Below are 17,957 nucleotides of genomic sequence, written 5' to 3'. Positions count from 1 at the left end.
AGGTTCAACTCTTATATCCTATAAGCTTTTTCACTGTCCTGAAAAAAAATGTGAAAATCAGAAACAAAACTAGATTGGGTCCAAAATATAAAACTAGAAAATCAAAATAAATATTTCACACAACATCTACAAAAATTAACATTGTGCCAACTAGTCAAATGCATCTCGATCCATAGTTATCTATCAGAATAAGAGTTTATGTTGCAAGACTAAAATGAATAATTTATTCTTAATAAAACTCAACATTATAAAAAATACAACCATTCTTCCCAATTGTGTTATAGCAAATATATTCTATTTGATGTGCGAGGTAGATGCATTTTCAGATGTTTGATATGCGGAAAGGCAGAGTTGCCAACTATCTGAGGGTCTGGGACTTCAGAGGCCTTAAGAGACCATGGGGAAGATACCACTTACCAGTCCATGTGGCCCCTAGGGTACCTGCTGATAAGAAGTTCCTTTTTGGTGTTTTTAATTCCTAGTGAAAAGCCTCCTAGGCAGGCTGCTTATGCTGCTGGGTGTCTGCTTCTCACAGAAGCAAAGCTAGGGCTTCGGGGAAAGGCAGCTCCCAACCTGTGGCCAATACCACAGCAGGGGCCAAGGTGCCTCTCCTGGCATCCTCCTCGCCCTCAGCTCAGTCCCCGTCCTGGGGGCAGCAGACTCTTCTCTGAGATCAGGATGACCTGTCAGGGGCCTGGAGCCCCCCACCTTCTGCTGCAGGCATGAGGGATGTGGCACCAGGAGGGGTCACCGAGCAAAGTCGGCTTTTGCTCCTTAGTAATCTTTCTCCGGAGGACAGGCAGGGACCCCACAAACCAATCGCCGCCCCTGTGGGGACCACCCTGCTTCCTTGGCTACTCCGGTTCTCACCGCAGTGCCCACATCTTCAGCCCTCTGGCCTGTCGGTCACTGACTCAGAAAGGTGGGTCTCTTCACCCTTGCCTGGAAGAATCAGCTTTTCCCTCTGAGAGGGAGACTTACCTGGAGCTCCCAGGAATGAACAAACTAAGCCCTGCGCAGATGCTCAGCCTTGGGAAGAGGCTGAGGCCTCCAGAGGGAAGTTTCTGTGTGCCCACTCTGTCCCTTGCTGCCTCAGCCTCTCTCCTGCCCACCGCCCCACCTCAGTTCCTCATGCAAATCATTTCCTGGCCGTTGCTGATTTGTATCTTTGGCCCAAGACAGAGAGGCTGCTATGGGGGCTGGCTTTGCACAGAGGTTCCTACCAGGGTAGACTGGTGGATTAGAACTCCGAGCCTCGACTGGGTCCTAGCTCCACCACACAGAGGCTAGGCAGTGCCACCCCAGGCAATCATTTAACCTCTCTGACCTCAGTTTCCCCAACCATAAGACAGAAAATATTCACTCACAGAATGATGGTAAAAATTAAATTAGATACTGCCTGGAAAAGGTTCTGAAAACATGAAAAGGTACACAAATGTAAGATAACGTTTTACCATGAGTCTGTGTGTTTGACTCTGCTGGCAACAAGCTGAGCACCGAGGGATGGGGGCAGCAGGACAGGCAAGGGGGCAGCAGGACAGGAAAGGGGTCGGGTGTGCTCACAGCCAGTTTGTGGGGAAAGGGGACCTCACAGGGAAAAACAGATGGTGCAGCACCAGGAAGGCAAGCAAGAAGTGTCACATATGTTTAAGATAATACACTCTGGGTCAGGCAGACCTGAATGCAGAGCCCCTGCTCTTTTAGTCATGTAACCTACTCTGAGCCTCAGTTTCCTCTTCTGGCAAGTGGGGCTAATGAGAGCTTCCCCATCGGATTGTCGAAAGGATTAAAGGAGGTCGTGTTGATAACTGACTTAGCATAGTACCTGGCATATAGTAATCACTTAAGAAATCCCATTATGATTAAACTGATGTCCATTGTGCTATGGAAACGTGTAAGTGCTGAATTCCAGGCACATGGTATGAACAAGTCAGGGATCAATAAATCCATAAGCAATGTCTCCAGCACATCTCAGTTTGTCTCACAGACCCTGACCCCCAGGGTTTTTAGTCTCTATTTCTCCCTTCATTTCTTTAAAATAAAAAAAAGTGAAGGCAAGTTCTCTTGGGTACAGGCACATTTCACACTGAAAGGAACCCTTACCCCCTCAGCGGCCACCTGCCCATGGCCCGCAGCCGCTTCAGGACACCCCTAGGAGGATGCAGAGGTGGCCACCTTGCCTCACCCACAATGGACCTAGTCACTTGGGCCTAGATCCCAAGACAGCCTGCCTTCCCGGCCACCCATAACATGAGCCGAGAGGACCGACCACACAGCTGGGGACTGTGACTAAATGCCGGGAGGGAACCAGGGAAGGCTCTGTGCTGGCCACATGTCGGGAAGGGAGACCTTTATTGCAACCATCCCACGCTAATTGGTCCTGGGCTGGGCAGTTTTCCCATAAAGATGAGAGGACTGAAAGAAGCTCACCAAAAACCACAGCCCGTAGTGGAGGCAGCTGCTGAGGCGAGTCTGGCCGTAGCCACCTCAGAGTAGGGAACCGAGTGAGGTGCCTGGAAAAGGAGCCAGAGAGCGGCCAGGAAACGATCCGTGCCCTGGCTGAGAAAACCAATCAATCAGGCTACAAGTGTGCATTGGGCGCTCGGCACGGGACAGCCACAGAGAAGCCTGAGAGACTGCAGGAAGTCTAGACTGCTGCCCAGGCGCGGCTGGAGCCCACCGGGCAAAGACACGTGGTGCAGGAGGAAGGGTGAGTGACACTCCCAGGCCGCTTCTGCCCAGGGCCACACAGACAGGGCAGGAGGCAGTGCTGGGACTGCCCTGACAAAGTGCCACAGACAGGGCAGCTTACTCAACAGAAATGAACTTCCTGAAGGCTGGAAGTCCAAGATCAAGGTGCCAGCAGGGTGGATGTCTCATGAGGCCTCCCGCCATGGCTTGCAGTTGCCCCTCTTCTCCCCATGTCTTCACATGCTTTTCCTTCTATGTGTGTCTGTGTCCATGTGTGTCTGTGTCCAAGTTTCTTCTTTTTATAAATCCAATCATATTGGAGTAGGCCCACCCTAATGGTCTCATGCTAACTTAATCACCTCTTTAAAGACCCTGTCTCCAAATGCAGTCACATTCTAGAAGTACAGGAGACAGGGCTTCAACACATGAGTTTTGGGGGGACCCAACTCAGCCCATAGGATTTCAGCCAAGAGACAGGTGGGCTTCCGGGGTTAGGGCAAGGCCCTGAGGGCGTGGTGGGATATGGAGAGTAGACGGGGTGGGGAGCGGTGCAGGAAGTGCTCCAGGCTGGAGGAAGGACTGTCCCCTTCTCTCCTGCAGAACAACTCCTCCCCATTGTCTATCTCGCCTGCCTGCCACACATTCAAATAGAGAAGAATGTGGGCCACAGGTGAGGTGGGAGTGACAAAAGCCAGGGAAATAGGAACCCGAGAGAGACAACTTGGAGATGGCAGTGGGGACATTTGAACTCCTGCTGCTTGGCCACAGCATGGTGAATGAACTACAGCTGCGTTGAGTTGTAAAGCCCAGGAGCAATGAGCCACGCGGAGTAAGATTCCATGGCTGCCAGTAGGGCCTGTCCCCCCAAAAATATTAGCTCCACATGCCTTTCCTTAGGACTTTAACCCCAGTTCAATACTAAATGACTAAATACCCAGAGGTGGGGTCACATTTTAATTCACCATGAGCCCTTTAGATGTCAGTGCTAATGGGCATGTTTGGGGATAGCGGAAGTGGGATATATAAAGAGACTGCACCTCTGAGCAGGGTTGGAAAGCAAGGTTCTCTGCCTGCCTCTCCACGGCGCCTTGTTTGCCTGTCTTCCTCATTAGAACCTAAGTTCCGTGAGCCCAGGACTTAGCCTTGCTTCTCACTCTGCTTCCAGAGCCCATGACATGCCTAGAACATGGTTGACAAGCAAGAAATAGTTGTTGAACAGATAAATGAACAGGCTAATGAATAAACTATGTAGAAAGATACTTAAGCACTCGACAAGTTCATATTCTAGATGTAGCCTCATCAGAGAGGCAAACACATTCTTGGGTTGATGTGGTCTATGATCAGCCCTGCCAGGAACGACGAAGAAACATGTACCCTAACGTATTCACCGAAGACTCCAAACTAACACAAACTTATCTCAAATTATCAGGGAACCAGATCATCTACAGCAACCAGAAGCAGCTGTGAACCTCTGTCCCTGTAGTGGTAAACACAAGGGTATGGTCGGGAAGTCAGAGCTCCTCCTACAGTCCATGGAGCATCCTAGAAGATTTATAAGAATAAAGAAAGCAAGTTACAAAGCCGAGGCCTCGTGGCTTCAGAAGACACATTAAATAACAAGTCCCTTCGGCTGCTAAACACAGAGCCAGCATTCTCTTCCTGCCGGCTTTCAACACGCACACCTGAAAATCCTTCAGAACAACCGCAGCCCCAGCTCTGGTGCCTGCTTGCCTTGCCAAGAAATCAGAAGCTGCAGGCAGTGGGGGATGGGATGGAGAAAAGAGAGGAGATTCCTGCAGAAAAAGACTGGGCCAATTAGGAACAATTGCAAAAGCTTTCAGACCAGGCAGAGGCTGGCCCTCTCCTGCACATACCAGATCACTCTGTCTCCCTCTTCCACGTGGATGGATATAATTCATAACAGATTTTACGTTTACAGGAACCAGGCTGGAACATTTTCCACGCTGACTTTTCAGGCTGGTGACAACTAAGTATCTTAAGAACCTCTAGAGACAGAGCTGATGAGATACCGCTATTTCCTCAGCCACTGCCCTACCTGCTGGAGAGCCCCGTGACTAACCACCTGTTCCTATTTCCTGACCCACCTGGCGGGAAGGCAAGAGACGAGGGCAGAGCAGGGCTGGCCCTGGGGCCTTTCGCCTACCAAGCCCTCATTCTCCAGCCCCACTCTCTGTGCCCGCTAGCACATACCATGAGAGGATGCATCTTCATTTGTGTGGGACCGTGACATTCTGATGAAAGCCGGGGGGGGGTCTGTCCCCAGAAAAAGACGCAGACAACTTTTGTTGGTATATATTGTTAGCACGTCTTCAAACTGAACTATGCATCAGAATCACTGGGGAAACATTTCTGATTCCCGTGCAGCCCCTTCCCACACTTGTGGAAATAGAATCTCTAGAGAAGGCAGCCCAAACTTTGTGTTTAAGAGACCATTCCCGGTGCTTACCAGATCAGCGGGACACAGACCTATGAGCAGGTGTTAGGGAACCTCTGCATAGGGACTCATGCCCCTCAGGCGAAGGAGCTCTGTTCTCCTACAAGGTCAGGAAGGGAAGAAAACTTTCTTTTTTCTTTTTTTTTTTGAGCCAGGAATTATGTTAAGTGGCTTCCCTAAATTAACTCATTTAATTTCATTTTCATAGAAATCACGTCAGGGGGCTGGGCATGGTGGCTCACGCCTATAATCTCAGCACTTTGGGAGGCCGAGATGGGAGGATTGTTTGAGGCCAGGAGTCGGAGACAAGCCTGGTCAACATAGTGAGACCCCATTTCTATTAAAAATACTAAAAATAATAATTTTTTAAAAACAAAATAAAAGATCATCTGGGGGAAGTGATATCCCCATTTAAGAGGTGAAGAACAGAGGCTCAGAAAGGTTAAGGATTACCTGGCATCCGGTGGACTAAGGACCGAAACCAAGACCACCTTCTTCCAAAGTCCTCTCTTCCGAGGACAGCACCATCTAAACCCTGCCTGCAAGATGTCTGCACACGCGCCCCTTCCCTGAGCCGCTGCAGGGTGGGGTGTGCCTTCATCAGGATGGCCGTCATCACAGTGTCATCGTGGACCACTTCCTCTTTCCCCTACCTTGGACTCAGGGATGCTCAGGCGCACATCCCAGTCACCTTGCAGTACACAGTCCCTAGCACACTTCCAGTCCACAGTGAGCACCGGACAAATGTTCTGTGGAGGAATTAGACAAAGGAAAGGAGAGAGTGTAGGGGTAAGCTCACCACCTTCTCCCTATAAAAGCTTCAGAAGAGAAGTCATTTCCCCAAAGTAACTTTACATTTTGTAACATCAATACTATAAGATACCAGCGACCCCCGACAGGGCTCACCAATATGCAAAGAGACTGTGAAATGGCTACAAATGTGAGTGGATTTCGATTTAAGGTGGTTTAGGAGGGGGAAAAAAACCCCATAAGGAGAGATTTGGGAAAGGCATTGGGAGAGGGGCCTCGTAGAAGCAGAAGCAGAAGAAACCATCAGCATACCCACCCCAGGGTGCATGAACCCATCACTGTAACAATGTCATGTTCTCACTCACACAACGGGGAGCCTGTGTTTGGCTTTCACCAGTATTACCTGATTTGCTCACACAATTTTATGGTGGCTGTTCTTGCTTGAATATTACTGAAGAAGATTACATGGGTTCAAGGTTGGTACCGTCATTTTTTTTTTTTTTTTTTTTTTTTGCAGACAGAAACTCACACACAATCTCCCCAGTTCCCTCCCGATGTTAAAATCCCTTCTCCAATACCTCCCACAGCCACCCAACCTCTCCTTGAATGCTTTCAGGGATGGAGAACTCCTGGCCTCTCAACATGTTCCATTTCTGAAGAGCTCCCTATTGAACCCATACCCTCCACCCACTGGTCGGAGTTCTACATTAATGAGTAATCCAGAATCAGTTTACCCCCACTCTGCAGGACCCCCTTAACACACATCTTGCCTGCATCCTCCAGCTGTTCCTCTGGGCCAGAGACAGAGTGTCCTTGCAGTCCATTACTTACCCTCGCTAAGCTCCAGTGTTCTCATCTATAAAAGGGTAATAACAGTAATATCTACCCCATGGGGTTATTGTGAGGATTCAGTAATGAGCTGTAAAAAAACGATATCGTGGATGTGGGTCCCCTGGCCTACAATAACTAGAATATTATTGCTCTTCTTTTTCTTGCCCTGGCCTACACACTACTCACTATTCTGTGGGTGCAGCATGGAATTGTGTCATATTTGTAGCAGTTCTGATGGCAACAAGAATAAAATAAAACACCTGGATTTGTTTTCATGGGCATGACCCTCAAATCTGCGCTCCCCTATTACGCCTTTCAGCAACTGAGTTTTGGAACCTAACATCAGGCTCAAATGTTTTCCTGTTTGTTTCAGCTCGCCGTGTCAGTCTGCTGTGATCATGTTGATCTTAACTCTGTCCCCACACTGAAGGCCTGGGTGCTGCCCCTTCCAGCTGTCTCTCCACTTGTATCTTAGAGATTCTCTAAATAACTTCAAGCATGAGCCCCAAGACTAGAGACTCAGGAACTGCCTCTGTGAAAGGACTGCAATTCAGCTGAACATTTTCTGGATGAGGAAACAGAGGTGCAAAGATGTCAGTTGGCTACAGGAAATAACAGAGGTAGTAATGATCATTGTTACCGCCGTCACGGACTGGGCTCTCCTGTCCACAGGCACTATGCTACATGCTTTACACAGGGGTCTTCCCCAGACTGTAACCCCCCAGAAGAAAACATTTGAGTCTGATATGTAGGTTCCAAAACTCAGTTGCCCAAACACGTAATAGGGGAGTGCAGATTTGAGGGTTATGTTCATGAAACAAATCCAGGTGTTTTATTTTATTCTTGTTGTCATCAGAACTGCTACAAATATAACACAATCCCAAGCTGCACCCGTCCCCAGAGGGCAGGATGCGTGGCTGCAGTATTCAGCACCCCATACTCTGCACTCAGCTCTGTGCCAGACACACACTAGGGACTCAACAAACACTTGCTGAACAACCATTTGACATTTCCAACAACCCTCATTTTGAAAATGATAAAAACTATACTTTAAGAGATTAAACAACTCACTCTAGGTCCCCAGCTGATTCTGGGACACGCTGTGATTAGAACCCAATCTGCCTGGCTCCAAAACCAGCCCCTCACTTTACGGCCTCCCTATCAGCAAAAATGTTCTAGAACGCAGCGCACTGGACAGTCTCTCAGCATTACATCTGGGAACTGAGCCACTGTAGTCACATGCCCCAAACTTATATCTAAACAAGAGAAGTGGGGAAAACCTACCAAGACCTAAAATATCTTTGAGCAGAGAAGATCCTTTAGCCTCTGCTCCCAAAATGACTCACTTTCTGGTTCCATTCTCCCACTGACTCATCCTGCTGGGACATTTCGCTTCCTCCAAAGCAGGAGGGCTCCATGCCAGGCTTGCCAGCACTCAGGCCCTGCTGGGCTTCCTAGCAGAAGCCAGTTCCAGGGAGGAACAAGAACCAGAGCCTCTGTATCCTAATGCTTTCCCCACCACCCCTTTGGCCTTTGCCAGACACCAGGGAAGAAAGAAAGGGTTCTTTCTCTTCATCTACACTTAAGAGTGTGTGGTGTTTCTGTGTGTAGGTATGTGTTTATACTTGCATGCGTGTTTACTCAGAATGAAGGCTTCATCCATCCATCTACCGTGTGCTCAACCTTACAACAGACACTGTTGGGGTTACAGGGAACGAGAAGACGTGCTCTCCATTCTAGCAAGTATGAGCAAAGACCTGAGTGAGGCTGCTCAGGAGGCAGTTGGAGGGCCTGCCTGGCCAAAGGATGAGTGGAGAAGGAAGGGCCTTGAGGACCAAGCTCAGAAAATTTTGATTTTCACCTGTCAGATGAAGAGAAATGATCAAAATTTCATTTGAAGCAGAGAAAGAGCATGGTAGAAGCTGATTCTTGGGAGATCAATCTAGCAACGGTGTGTACAGTGGTTTGGAGGCAGGAAGGCAAGAGCTCTTCCTGAGAGCAGGCTAGCATCCAATGAGCGTGGAGCAAGCATATATCCATTGAACAGCCAAATACTCATTTGTGGTCATTATTAGGAAACTTTGTTCTTTTTCGAGCTACTCTTTGCCAGTCTCCATTTTCCAACTTCACTCATGTCTGTTCCTTCCTCTGGACATCCTTCTTTCTAAATCTCTTCCAACTTTGAGACTCAGGTCTGGAGCCAATATTCTAGCAGCATTCCACTAATTGCAATAATATTTTCTAACGCAATAGGGGTCTGGGTCAATGTTCAGTATTCAGAGCCCGGAGTTTCTGTGGTGCGTATTAATCACGCATCGAGTGGGGCAAGGGGCTAGATGACTTCAAAAGTCCTTCCAACCTTAGAGTCTATGGGTCTAGGGTGCTAACTCCACTAACAGGTTGGTATGTTTTCCTTTCATTAGACAACTTACTTGTTCAGGAACATGGCTAAGACCAACCTATCATCAGCAGGTCCAGGGAACACTTCCTAAGTCTGTGGCAATGCATACCTCCTCCCCGACTTACTTCTGTGCTGAACTCCCAGCTCCACCTGGCAGGATGCCTGCCACAGCCATGAGTGCCTGGAATCACAGAACACTGAGAGTTTTATAAAAGACTGGATTCCAAGTCATCAAACATTCATTTTAATGCCTGTTTATCCATTAAATAACTATTAGGTTGTTCTAAGTACAGAAAAGACCGCCATCACATCTATCTCCTCTTTTAAATTATTTATTTATTTATTTATTTTGAGACAGAGTCTTGCTCTGTCAACCAGGCTGCAGTGCAGTGGTGCAATCACGGCTCACTGCAACCTTTACCTTCTGGGTTCAAGCGATTCTCCTGCCTTAGCCTCCTGGGTAACTGGGACTGCAAGCGCCTGTCACCTCAACTAGCTAATTTTTGTATTTTTAGTACAGACAGGGTTTTGTCATGTTGGCCAGGCTGGTCTTGAACTCCTGACCTCGGGTGATCTGCCCGCCTCGGCCTCCCAAAGTGCTGAGATTAAAAGCAAGAGCCACTGTGCCCAGCCTATCTTCTCCTTTTCTTCTCAGGGTCTGTGAATTTGTACGGGGGAAGAAATCACAATCACGGGTCCTGTTAATAATCTGGTACTCAAGCGGTTCCAAAGGCTCCCGAGTGGGAACCCGGTCATGAAGGAAGTCGGAGAGTCTGTCCTGGGGCCAGGAAAGGAAGGCATTTTCCAGGAGCAGAGAGGTGTTCACAGCCTTCTGTGACACCCCCACAAGGGGCCCAGACTCCAGGTCTTAGCGACCAGCTCTCCAGACACAGGAGCATTGATACCACAAGACAACTGCTTAGACTCCTGCTCAGATCCTGTAGCAAGCCTTCTGCAGATCCCTGGATTGTCGGAAAAACATAATCCTACATGCAGCATCAACTCTGAGTTAGGTTCATCCCATGCAAAAAGCAAAGTCCATGCTTCCTACAGTTAGTGCATGGCCCCTTGAAGAAACTCAGCAAGTGCTAGCTCCCTTCCCTTCTCGATAGCCAGCCGCTGGCTCCTCCAAAATCCTCCTGGCATGACAACTCTATTTCCTCTCCTGTTAAACTGATGGATATTGGTGGCTACCAAGGACGGATACCCATTTGAAATAATCTGCTACTTCCCCAGCAAGCAACTTTCCTTTTAATAAGAGGCAAAGAGTCCATTCCTAAGTCCTGATATCCCTTCCTTGGAGAATCTGCTTCCTTCACTGTGTCCTTCCTTTTCTCTGCAGATCTGCAGTTTGAGAAGAAACTTGCAATTTGGAGATGCCTGCCCTTCTCCTAGCTCCTCACCTCCCTTGGTGTGTCTCATCTTCATGCTAGGCTTGTGGGAATCTCAGAGGGTTACATAGAAACACTGGAAATCAGCCACGGGCAGTGGCTCATGCCTGTAATTCCAGCACTTTGGGAGGCAGAGGCGGATGGATCACCCGAGGTCAGGAGTTCAAGACCTGCCTGGCCAACATGGCAAAATCCCATCTCTACTAAAAATGCAAAAATTAGGCTGGTGTGGTGGCAGAAGCCTATAATCCCAGCTACTTGGGAGGCAGAGGCAGGAGAATCACTTGAACCCAGGAGGCGCAGGTTGCAGTGAGCCAAGATCGTGCCACTGCACTCCAGCCTGGGCAACAGAGCGAGAAGAAAGAAAAAGAAAGAAAGAAAGAAAGAGAGAGAGAAGGAAGGAAGGAAGGAAGGAAGGAAGGAAGGAAGGAAGGGAGGGAGGGAGGGAGGGAGGGAGGGAAGGAAAGGGAAGGAAGGAAAGGGAAGGGAGAGGAGAGGAAGGAAGAAAGAGAGAGGGAGGGAGGGAAAGACAAGAAAAGAAAGAGAAAGAAAGAAAGGGAGAGAAACACTGGAAATCAGGCAGGGAATAATGAGAAGGGATGCTTTCAAGCTGTCTTTGAGGCAAGATCTGCTTGAACTGGATTCTGTGTATTTTTTATTTATTTAGGAAGTTGCTGTTTAAGTTGAGGTGGAGTGTCTCTCTGGCTACTTTCACTGCATATACAAACCCAGAGGAGAAGACGAACAACGGGAGCAGCTACCTGACAGGGATAGAGGCGGCTTGTATCGTCCCCTCTCCTGGTTGCTAAGCACCCAGAAATTCACGAGCAGCCTTTGATAGGAGAGAGTTACAGGCAAGGAGAGATGCTCATCCACAGAAGGGCTCTCTGGGTGTTGGGAAGGCAGCCTGGGTAAAAAGTGCTCTCCAAGCTGGCTGGGAAAATCTGGATGGAAAGGAAAAGGTGCCCTGTTGCTCTGCACCTTATGCCATCAGACACCTATTGATTAAGCCGACCTGGCCATGGGTGGAGGGGTCACCCTCCGTAGACTGATGGCCGATCCCACCACAAATGCTGAGTTCTGGAATCATGAGAAGTTCCCCCTGAATGTGCCTTGCTAGCCAATGCCAATTCTTCAGTGATGGTAAAGACGGTCCAAAAGACTCACCACCAACCATGAAAGAAGATGGGTCAAGTGATAGCATTGTCCTCGTGTATCCCACTTTCAGTATAAAATGGAATTCCAGTTCTCTGGGGTGATGGACATGTAGCCATTGTTTAGAGACTCGGGGAGGAAGGTTTCTGCTCCGGGATTTTATGTCCTGAAGCGCTCGAGAATGCTATGCCTAGGAATTTTAAAGGACGGGATTGAGTTGGAAGCATTTCCTGTAATGCCACATGCACAGAGAACCCCTAGGAACAGGTGAAGCACTTGCTGCCCCCCAGCTCCAACCCCCCCAATAGGCCCTAGCTGACATGGAAGGAAGCTTGACCAGGGCTGAAGGCTCTCTGCTTTCAAGCCTAAACTCAGTTCTACCCTTACTTGACTTCTCCATCTTCTCCCCAAGCGGCCAGCAGGACCCTTTAAAAACGTGAGTCAGACTATACCTCTGCTTACAGTCCTCCAGGGCTGCCCATCTCATCCAGGGGAAAACCAAGGCCCTGAAAATGGTTTCTAAGACTCTGCCTGGTCTGCCCCTGCAACCACCTCTCTAGGCCCGTCTCCTACCATCTTCCCCACACGGGCTCCACACCAGCATCCCTACCTCACGCACTCCAGCCTTCTGCCTGGCCTGCTCCTCTCCAGCAATTTCTCACCTTCTCAAGAGTTTGCTTAAATGTCACCTCCTGAGCCTGCTTACCCTATTCAAGATTGCAAACCCAAATTCCTAGCATCCTCTAGCATCCCACCCCTCTAGCATCCTCATGTCCCTGTCCTGCTTTGCTTTCCTCCATAGCCTGTATCATCCCTGAACTAAATATATAGCACACCAATTTGTTCACTATCCATCTTCCCCCATTGGAATGTAAATTCCAAGAATGCAGGGATTTTTATCTGTTTTGTTCACTGCTGAACCATCAGGATGTTAGAACGATACCCAGCATATAGCAGGAACTCAATAAATACTTGTTTAATCAATTAATTAAAGACCTATCCTCCTTTGCAAGGGACCAACTCATTACTTTGAAAGCCGGTAAGTGATGAGAAAGCACCTGTCCTGCTTTTTCTGCCACATGGTATTTCAGGGTAACCAAACTGTTGATGAGAGAGCGTTCTTCTTTATAGAAGAATTCCAGCTACTCAACGCAAAAGGAATGACAGAATCAGAAAATGAGCATTTCAAGCCCTAATGAAATAATGGATCTGGGCAACAATCGTCAATGGATGTGAAAACCATCAGGGGAAAGGCTGATGGGGCCTCAGTAATAGATGAAGGATGAGGCTGCCAATCCCGGAGCCCACCCACCCATCTCAGTGTCACAACAGGAAGGGGCATAACCACAGCTGGCACATCCTTGACCCTCCCTTCAAAACAAACGGAACCTGAATCTAACTCCGAGGTCACAGAAAACATGGAGGATGAAGGAATAAATTAAGGGACAATAAGGAAGCAGCCAACCAAATCAAAATGAGGGACATTCTGCAGGACAACTGACCTAGTTTCTTCAACAAACAAATGACATGCAAAATGGGAGGGGGAACAATCATAGATAAAAAGAGATTTACAAACCTACAAGCAAATGTAATGTGTAGACTTTATTAGAATCCTGATTCAAACCAACCGGCAAAGATATTTCGACATAATAAGGGAAATTTACATATGAACTGAATATTAGATGATGTTAAGGATCTCTTGCGTTTTACTGTTATTGTTGTCTGGAGTGATAGAGGCATTTGGTGATATATATTTTTTTAAATCTTGTCTGTTAGAGATGCATGCCAAAGTACAGCTGACCTTGAACAACACAGGTTTGAACAGCGTGGGTCACTTACATGTGGATTTTCTTCTGCCTCTGCCACCCGAGATGGCAAGACCTAGCCGCCCTCCTCCTCCTCCTCTTCCTACTTCTCTTCCTCAGTCTGCTCAATGTGAAGACAAGGAGGATGAAGACCTTTACAATGGTTCACTTCCACTTAATGAATAGTAAATATATTTTACCTTCCTTAGGATTTTCTTAATGACATTTGCTTTTCTCTAGCCTACTTTATTGTAAGAATACACTAAATAATACATACAACATACAAAATATGTGTTCATCGACTGTTTATGTTATCAGTCAGGCTTCAGGTAAACAGTAGATTGTTAGTAGTTAGGCTTTGCGGGAGTCAAAATTTATGTGCAGATTTTTGACCATCCAAGGGTCAGCATCTCTAACCCCCATGTTGTTCAAGGGTAAACTGTACTTACAGGTGAAATTATATAATTGCTGGAATTTGCTTCCAAACATCCCAGAAAAGAAAAAAAAATCTTGAGGGAAATAGATAAAACCAAATCAGCAACTGTTTATAACTGTTGAAGCTGGAGCACGGGAACTCATTATCTATGTCTCTTTGATTACATTTGAAATTTTCTGTTATAAAATCATTTTAAAATATAAAAACTACCTGTCTTATAGATGAACTTAATGAGGTTAAAAAAATTCAAAGTACCTAGAATAGTTCTGAGCACCCCATCAATTCTGGTTGGAGGTCAAGTACTAGCAGCTGAAGAGCTGCTCATTTTATGACTATAGGGACTTGCTTTCCCTTCTAGAGAAAGCACCTCTGCCTGCAACAAAGCCCAGGCACTGGTGATGTCTAGAGTTTTCTCTCTTGCCTGAGAGCCCTCGAAGGCTGGCCACCATTTATCTGGGATACCACTTCCCTTTTCCATGCAAAGCCACACATGTCCCTCTCGTCTGCCTCCTTCCCCTTGGGCAGCTCCTTCGCCCCTTAGATGTTCTTTAACCACAACTAAACATATTATGTAATAAATCTGTGAACTTGTGTGGGAAGTATTAAAACTCGCCCTTTGATGTCTGCTGCTGATTCTAAGGGGGAAGGGGGCTAATTTTTCTTAAATTCCAGGCCCTTAAAAGGTAGGTAATATTGTCCCTGATTCCCACATGAGGAAACAAAAGTGCAGAGAGATTGGGGAAGTTACCAAATCACAGGGCTCCCCATCATCATAGCAGGACACATCTGGTGCCTACTTTGAGTCAGGCACAGTTCTAGTAGTAGGTACTATAGTTAGCCCCGTTTTACTGATCAGGGAACTGAGGCACAGAAAGGTTAAGGAGCAAGCCTAGTGGTGGTGGCAGTGGGGCAGTTGTGGTGGAGCAGGTGGGGGTAGGGCTTGAGCTGGATCCTGCTACTGAGGAGAACAGGCTCAGGCGGGGAGAAAGGGAGTCCCGCTCCCAGCAGAAGATGGGGATACAGGGTGAAAACACACACTGCACATAGAGCATGCATCTCACTGCACCTGGTATCAACAAATGGGGTGATTATACATCTCATAGATCATAAGTAAGGTGACCACATGTCCCAGCTGGCATGGGCCAGTCTTTGTTCCCACATAATCTGCCGCCTTTCCTTCTCAAATGTATCCCAATTTGGATGATAAATTGTATGATCACCTTCCATCATAAGCTCTTGTGGGGTAAGAAAAGCACATGATAGCCAATTAATACCCGTTGAATAAAAGGTTAATGAATTTCTTTCCTATGGTGACAAACCTTCCTGGAAATGGAGAACTGACTAAGTAATGGTCTCTGCAGTTTCCTTGGTAACTCTCTAATTCTGTGACCCACAACCCTTTCCTAACTTCTCCCCTCAGACTTAAATATCCACTCTGCCCCCAGTCCCCTCCATCATCCCACTACATCTCTCAGGGCAGTGAAGTGGACCTGGGTTAGGGCCAAACACGGAAACTCCTGCACTCTTCCTTTGTCACTCTTAAGTAAGAGACACCGCCGGACACACTCATCCCACTGCTTCCCTCGCTCACAGTAAGCCCTGCTCTCTCCTGGACAGACGCCAGTCTCCTGTCTGCAAACGTCCCTGCCATTCAGAACTCAGTCCTTCCTGGTGAATCCCCCTCCCAGCTCCTCACCAACTCTGCTGTCCACTGCCACTTCTGGTCCCATGAGGCCCCAGCCAAGGCTGGCCAGTCTCCCTGGACCCACCCTATATCCGTTCTCCACAGACAAGGTCCATCAGGGTAAGTCTATTCCAGTTTTCTCCAATCTTGGCATTTTGCAGTATCTAATTAGCTTCATTCCCTTATTTGTGCCTCATCTCCTTTCTGTGACGTTAAGATAATCCCGTTTCCCTAATCCTATCACTATTCTGGCTTATTGCCAGGAAAGACTAGCTATCTTTATGAAGTCAGAGATAAAGACAAGAGAAAGACGGGAGCCTTATCTTAACGTTGGATGCCATCTTCCCAACTTCTCCGTGGGTCCTCCTTTCTTCCTAATGTAGGATATTTGGACATATTATTTTAATACTTGCATTTTGAGCTCTTCAGAAGAAAAGCAGACATAAAATTGTGAGATTATCATAATTAGTAATATTAATTTTTAGAGCTAAGATAATTTGGGTTTGATTCATTGCAACCATATGGCACTTATTGGACAAGCACATTACTACTTAATTAGAGGACCAAGAGCTCCTGGTGATGTGACAAGAGTCTGGAAAGGCTGCCTTTTAAACTGACATTACAGCAGGATAGAGCCTCTGGCTCAGACTAGCAGAAACAGCCAGCGGCAGAGAGGAGCAGGCCTTTGGTTCTCCCAGGGCCCCTGTTGCTGAGGTGATAATGAGCTTTACTTCCCTGCGCTCAAGCTCCTGGTTGCTTCAGGTCCTGTGTGTACTGCCACACACAATGATTAGACTGCAGTCGTTAGGGTGGCACTAGCTGCTGCAGCAAACACACCCCAACACTGAGGCGGTTTCTAGGCACAATAGGAGTTTATTTATTGTCCACGGTCCAAAGCAGGAACAACCCTGCATTCACGCTCTCCCACAGCTCGGTTCAGAGACTGGTCTCTGTCCTCCCATAGGGCCCTGTGGTCATCTGCATACTGGTCTTCCCTCCTCAGGGCCATGGCATGTGCTGCTGCCTCTGTGCATAGTGGCCGTCCTCCCAGACCTATCATGAGTGGCTCTTTATCACAGGGTCACAGCCCAAGTGGAATTCCCTCGGGGAGGCCTTCCTCTCCTCTGCTATCTGAGATAGTCGCATGCCCCTCTCCACCTGTTATCCTAGTTTCTTGAAAGCACTTACCCGTATTTGAAAGTCTGACTGACTTAGCTGTTTGCTTCATTTTTCCCTCTCTTCCTGCCATAGCACCAGCCTTGTCTATGCTATTCTTCACTGCATTTCCAGCATTTACAACTCCTGATGGGCACTCAGAAAATATTTGTGGGGAAAAGGAAGAGAGGGAGAAAACGAAGAAGGGAGGGAGGAAAGAAGAGAAAGAAGGCTCAAAGAGTTTAAGTGACATTCCTAAGGTTCCCTTCCCAGGAAATGGCGGAACCCTGTGGAGTCCCCACCTCCCCGTCTGTGAGCTTTTCCACCATGGACTCATCTTGACGGACTCCCTGCAGAATGCTCATCCCTCCTCGCACGTGGAGAGAACAGGCCCACAGAGAGCATGTGGGGATGGCGTGTGATCCACCCCACTCCCTTCTCCAGCCTCCTATCTGTGAGCTGGCTGGGGTGGGGGACTCAGGCGAACAAAGGTCCAAGGCTTAATCTCTACGGGGCCAGTTTGCTCAGTTCCAAGGCAAGTCCTGTTCCATCAGACACTCCTCTCACTCTGGCCAAACAGCTACAGACTGTATCGCCCTGACAGGTCAGGCTGCCCCTGCCCTTCCCTGGCCTTCAGAAAAGATGTAAATTAACTTTCCAGACCCGAGTCCACCTCACCTATTCAGGGATCCGCCAGGTAAAAGATGTTCTCAGCAATCCAGCCCCACACGTGAAAAGCCATCCACGGTAAAGGAACCACAGGCTCTGAGGCCATCTCTCCCTGCCACAGGGCACTGTGCAGATGGGAGTGCCCAAGCACAGGGACAGACCAGCCCTTCTCCCTGCCTCCAAGGGCAACACATACCCTCCCAAGCAGCAGGGGTGGGTCCCATTCTCATGCCCACCAACCCCTGCCTCAGGGCCCCTGCAGGCCTGGAGTGCCCTCCCTAGAATCTACGGGCCTAGGAAGCAGACCTCTAATGCGTATTGTGGTACGTACTGAGGTAACGTGTCCTCAACTTCCTTGCTTCCCAGTGAACGTGGGAGAGGAAAGAGAAAAAGCACAGGCAGAAGGAAACAGCTCAGGTCCCCACTCCATGGCCTACCAGCCCAGGCTTCTAGACACACTCTGCACTCCCCAGGGAGCAGGAGCCAGGAGACTTCCACCTCAACTCCCTCACTCTTCAGTTGGAACATAATGTC

The 17,957-nt window shown here is 48.1% G+C and overlaps 1 protein-coding gene across 55 annotated transcripts in view, besides 2 other annotated features; it reads right to left on the bottom strand.

The window, feature by feature from the left end:
* The window catches only part of CACNA1C (calcium voltage-gated channel subunit alpha1 C), a 727,171-nt gene that overhangs the window by 509,410 nt on the left and 199,804 nt on the right, over positions 1 to 17,957 (bottom strand). The window lies entirely within an intron of this gene.
* Positions 809 to 1,309: an enhancer, noted in NCBI's record as "H3K4me1 hESC enhancer chr12:2296398-2296898 (GRCh37/hg19 assembly coordinates)". NCBI's record gives its function as "activates a minimal SCP1, AML or CMV promoter by ChIP-STARR-seq in naive H9 embryonic stem cells {active_cell/tissue: H9 hESC(naive)}" and the evidence as "EXISTENCE:reporter gene assay evidence [ECO:0000049][PMID:30033119]".
* Positions 4,331 to 4,830: an enhancer, noted in NCBI's record as "H3K4me1 hESC enhancer chr12:2292877-2293376 (GRCh37/hg19 assembly coordinates)". NCBI's record gives its function as "activates a minimal SCP1, AML or CMV promoter by ChIP-STARR-seq in primed H9 embryonic stem cells {active_cell/tissue: H9 hESC(primed)}" and the evidence as "EXISTENCE:reporter gene assay evidence [ECO:0000049][PMID:30033119]".

Source organism: Homo sapiens, chromosome 12 (genome assembly GCF_000001405.40).
Source record: "Homo sapiens chromosome 12, GRCh38.p14 Primary Assembly".
Taxonomy (NCBI): domain Eukaryota; kingdom Metazoa; phylum Chordata; class Mammalia; order Primates; family Hominidae; genus Homo; species Homo sapiens.
The sequence above is the reverse complement of the archived record's forward strand: the minus strand, read 5'-3'. Positions and strand labels throughout refer to the sequence as shown.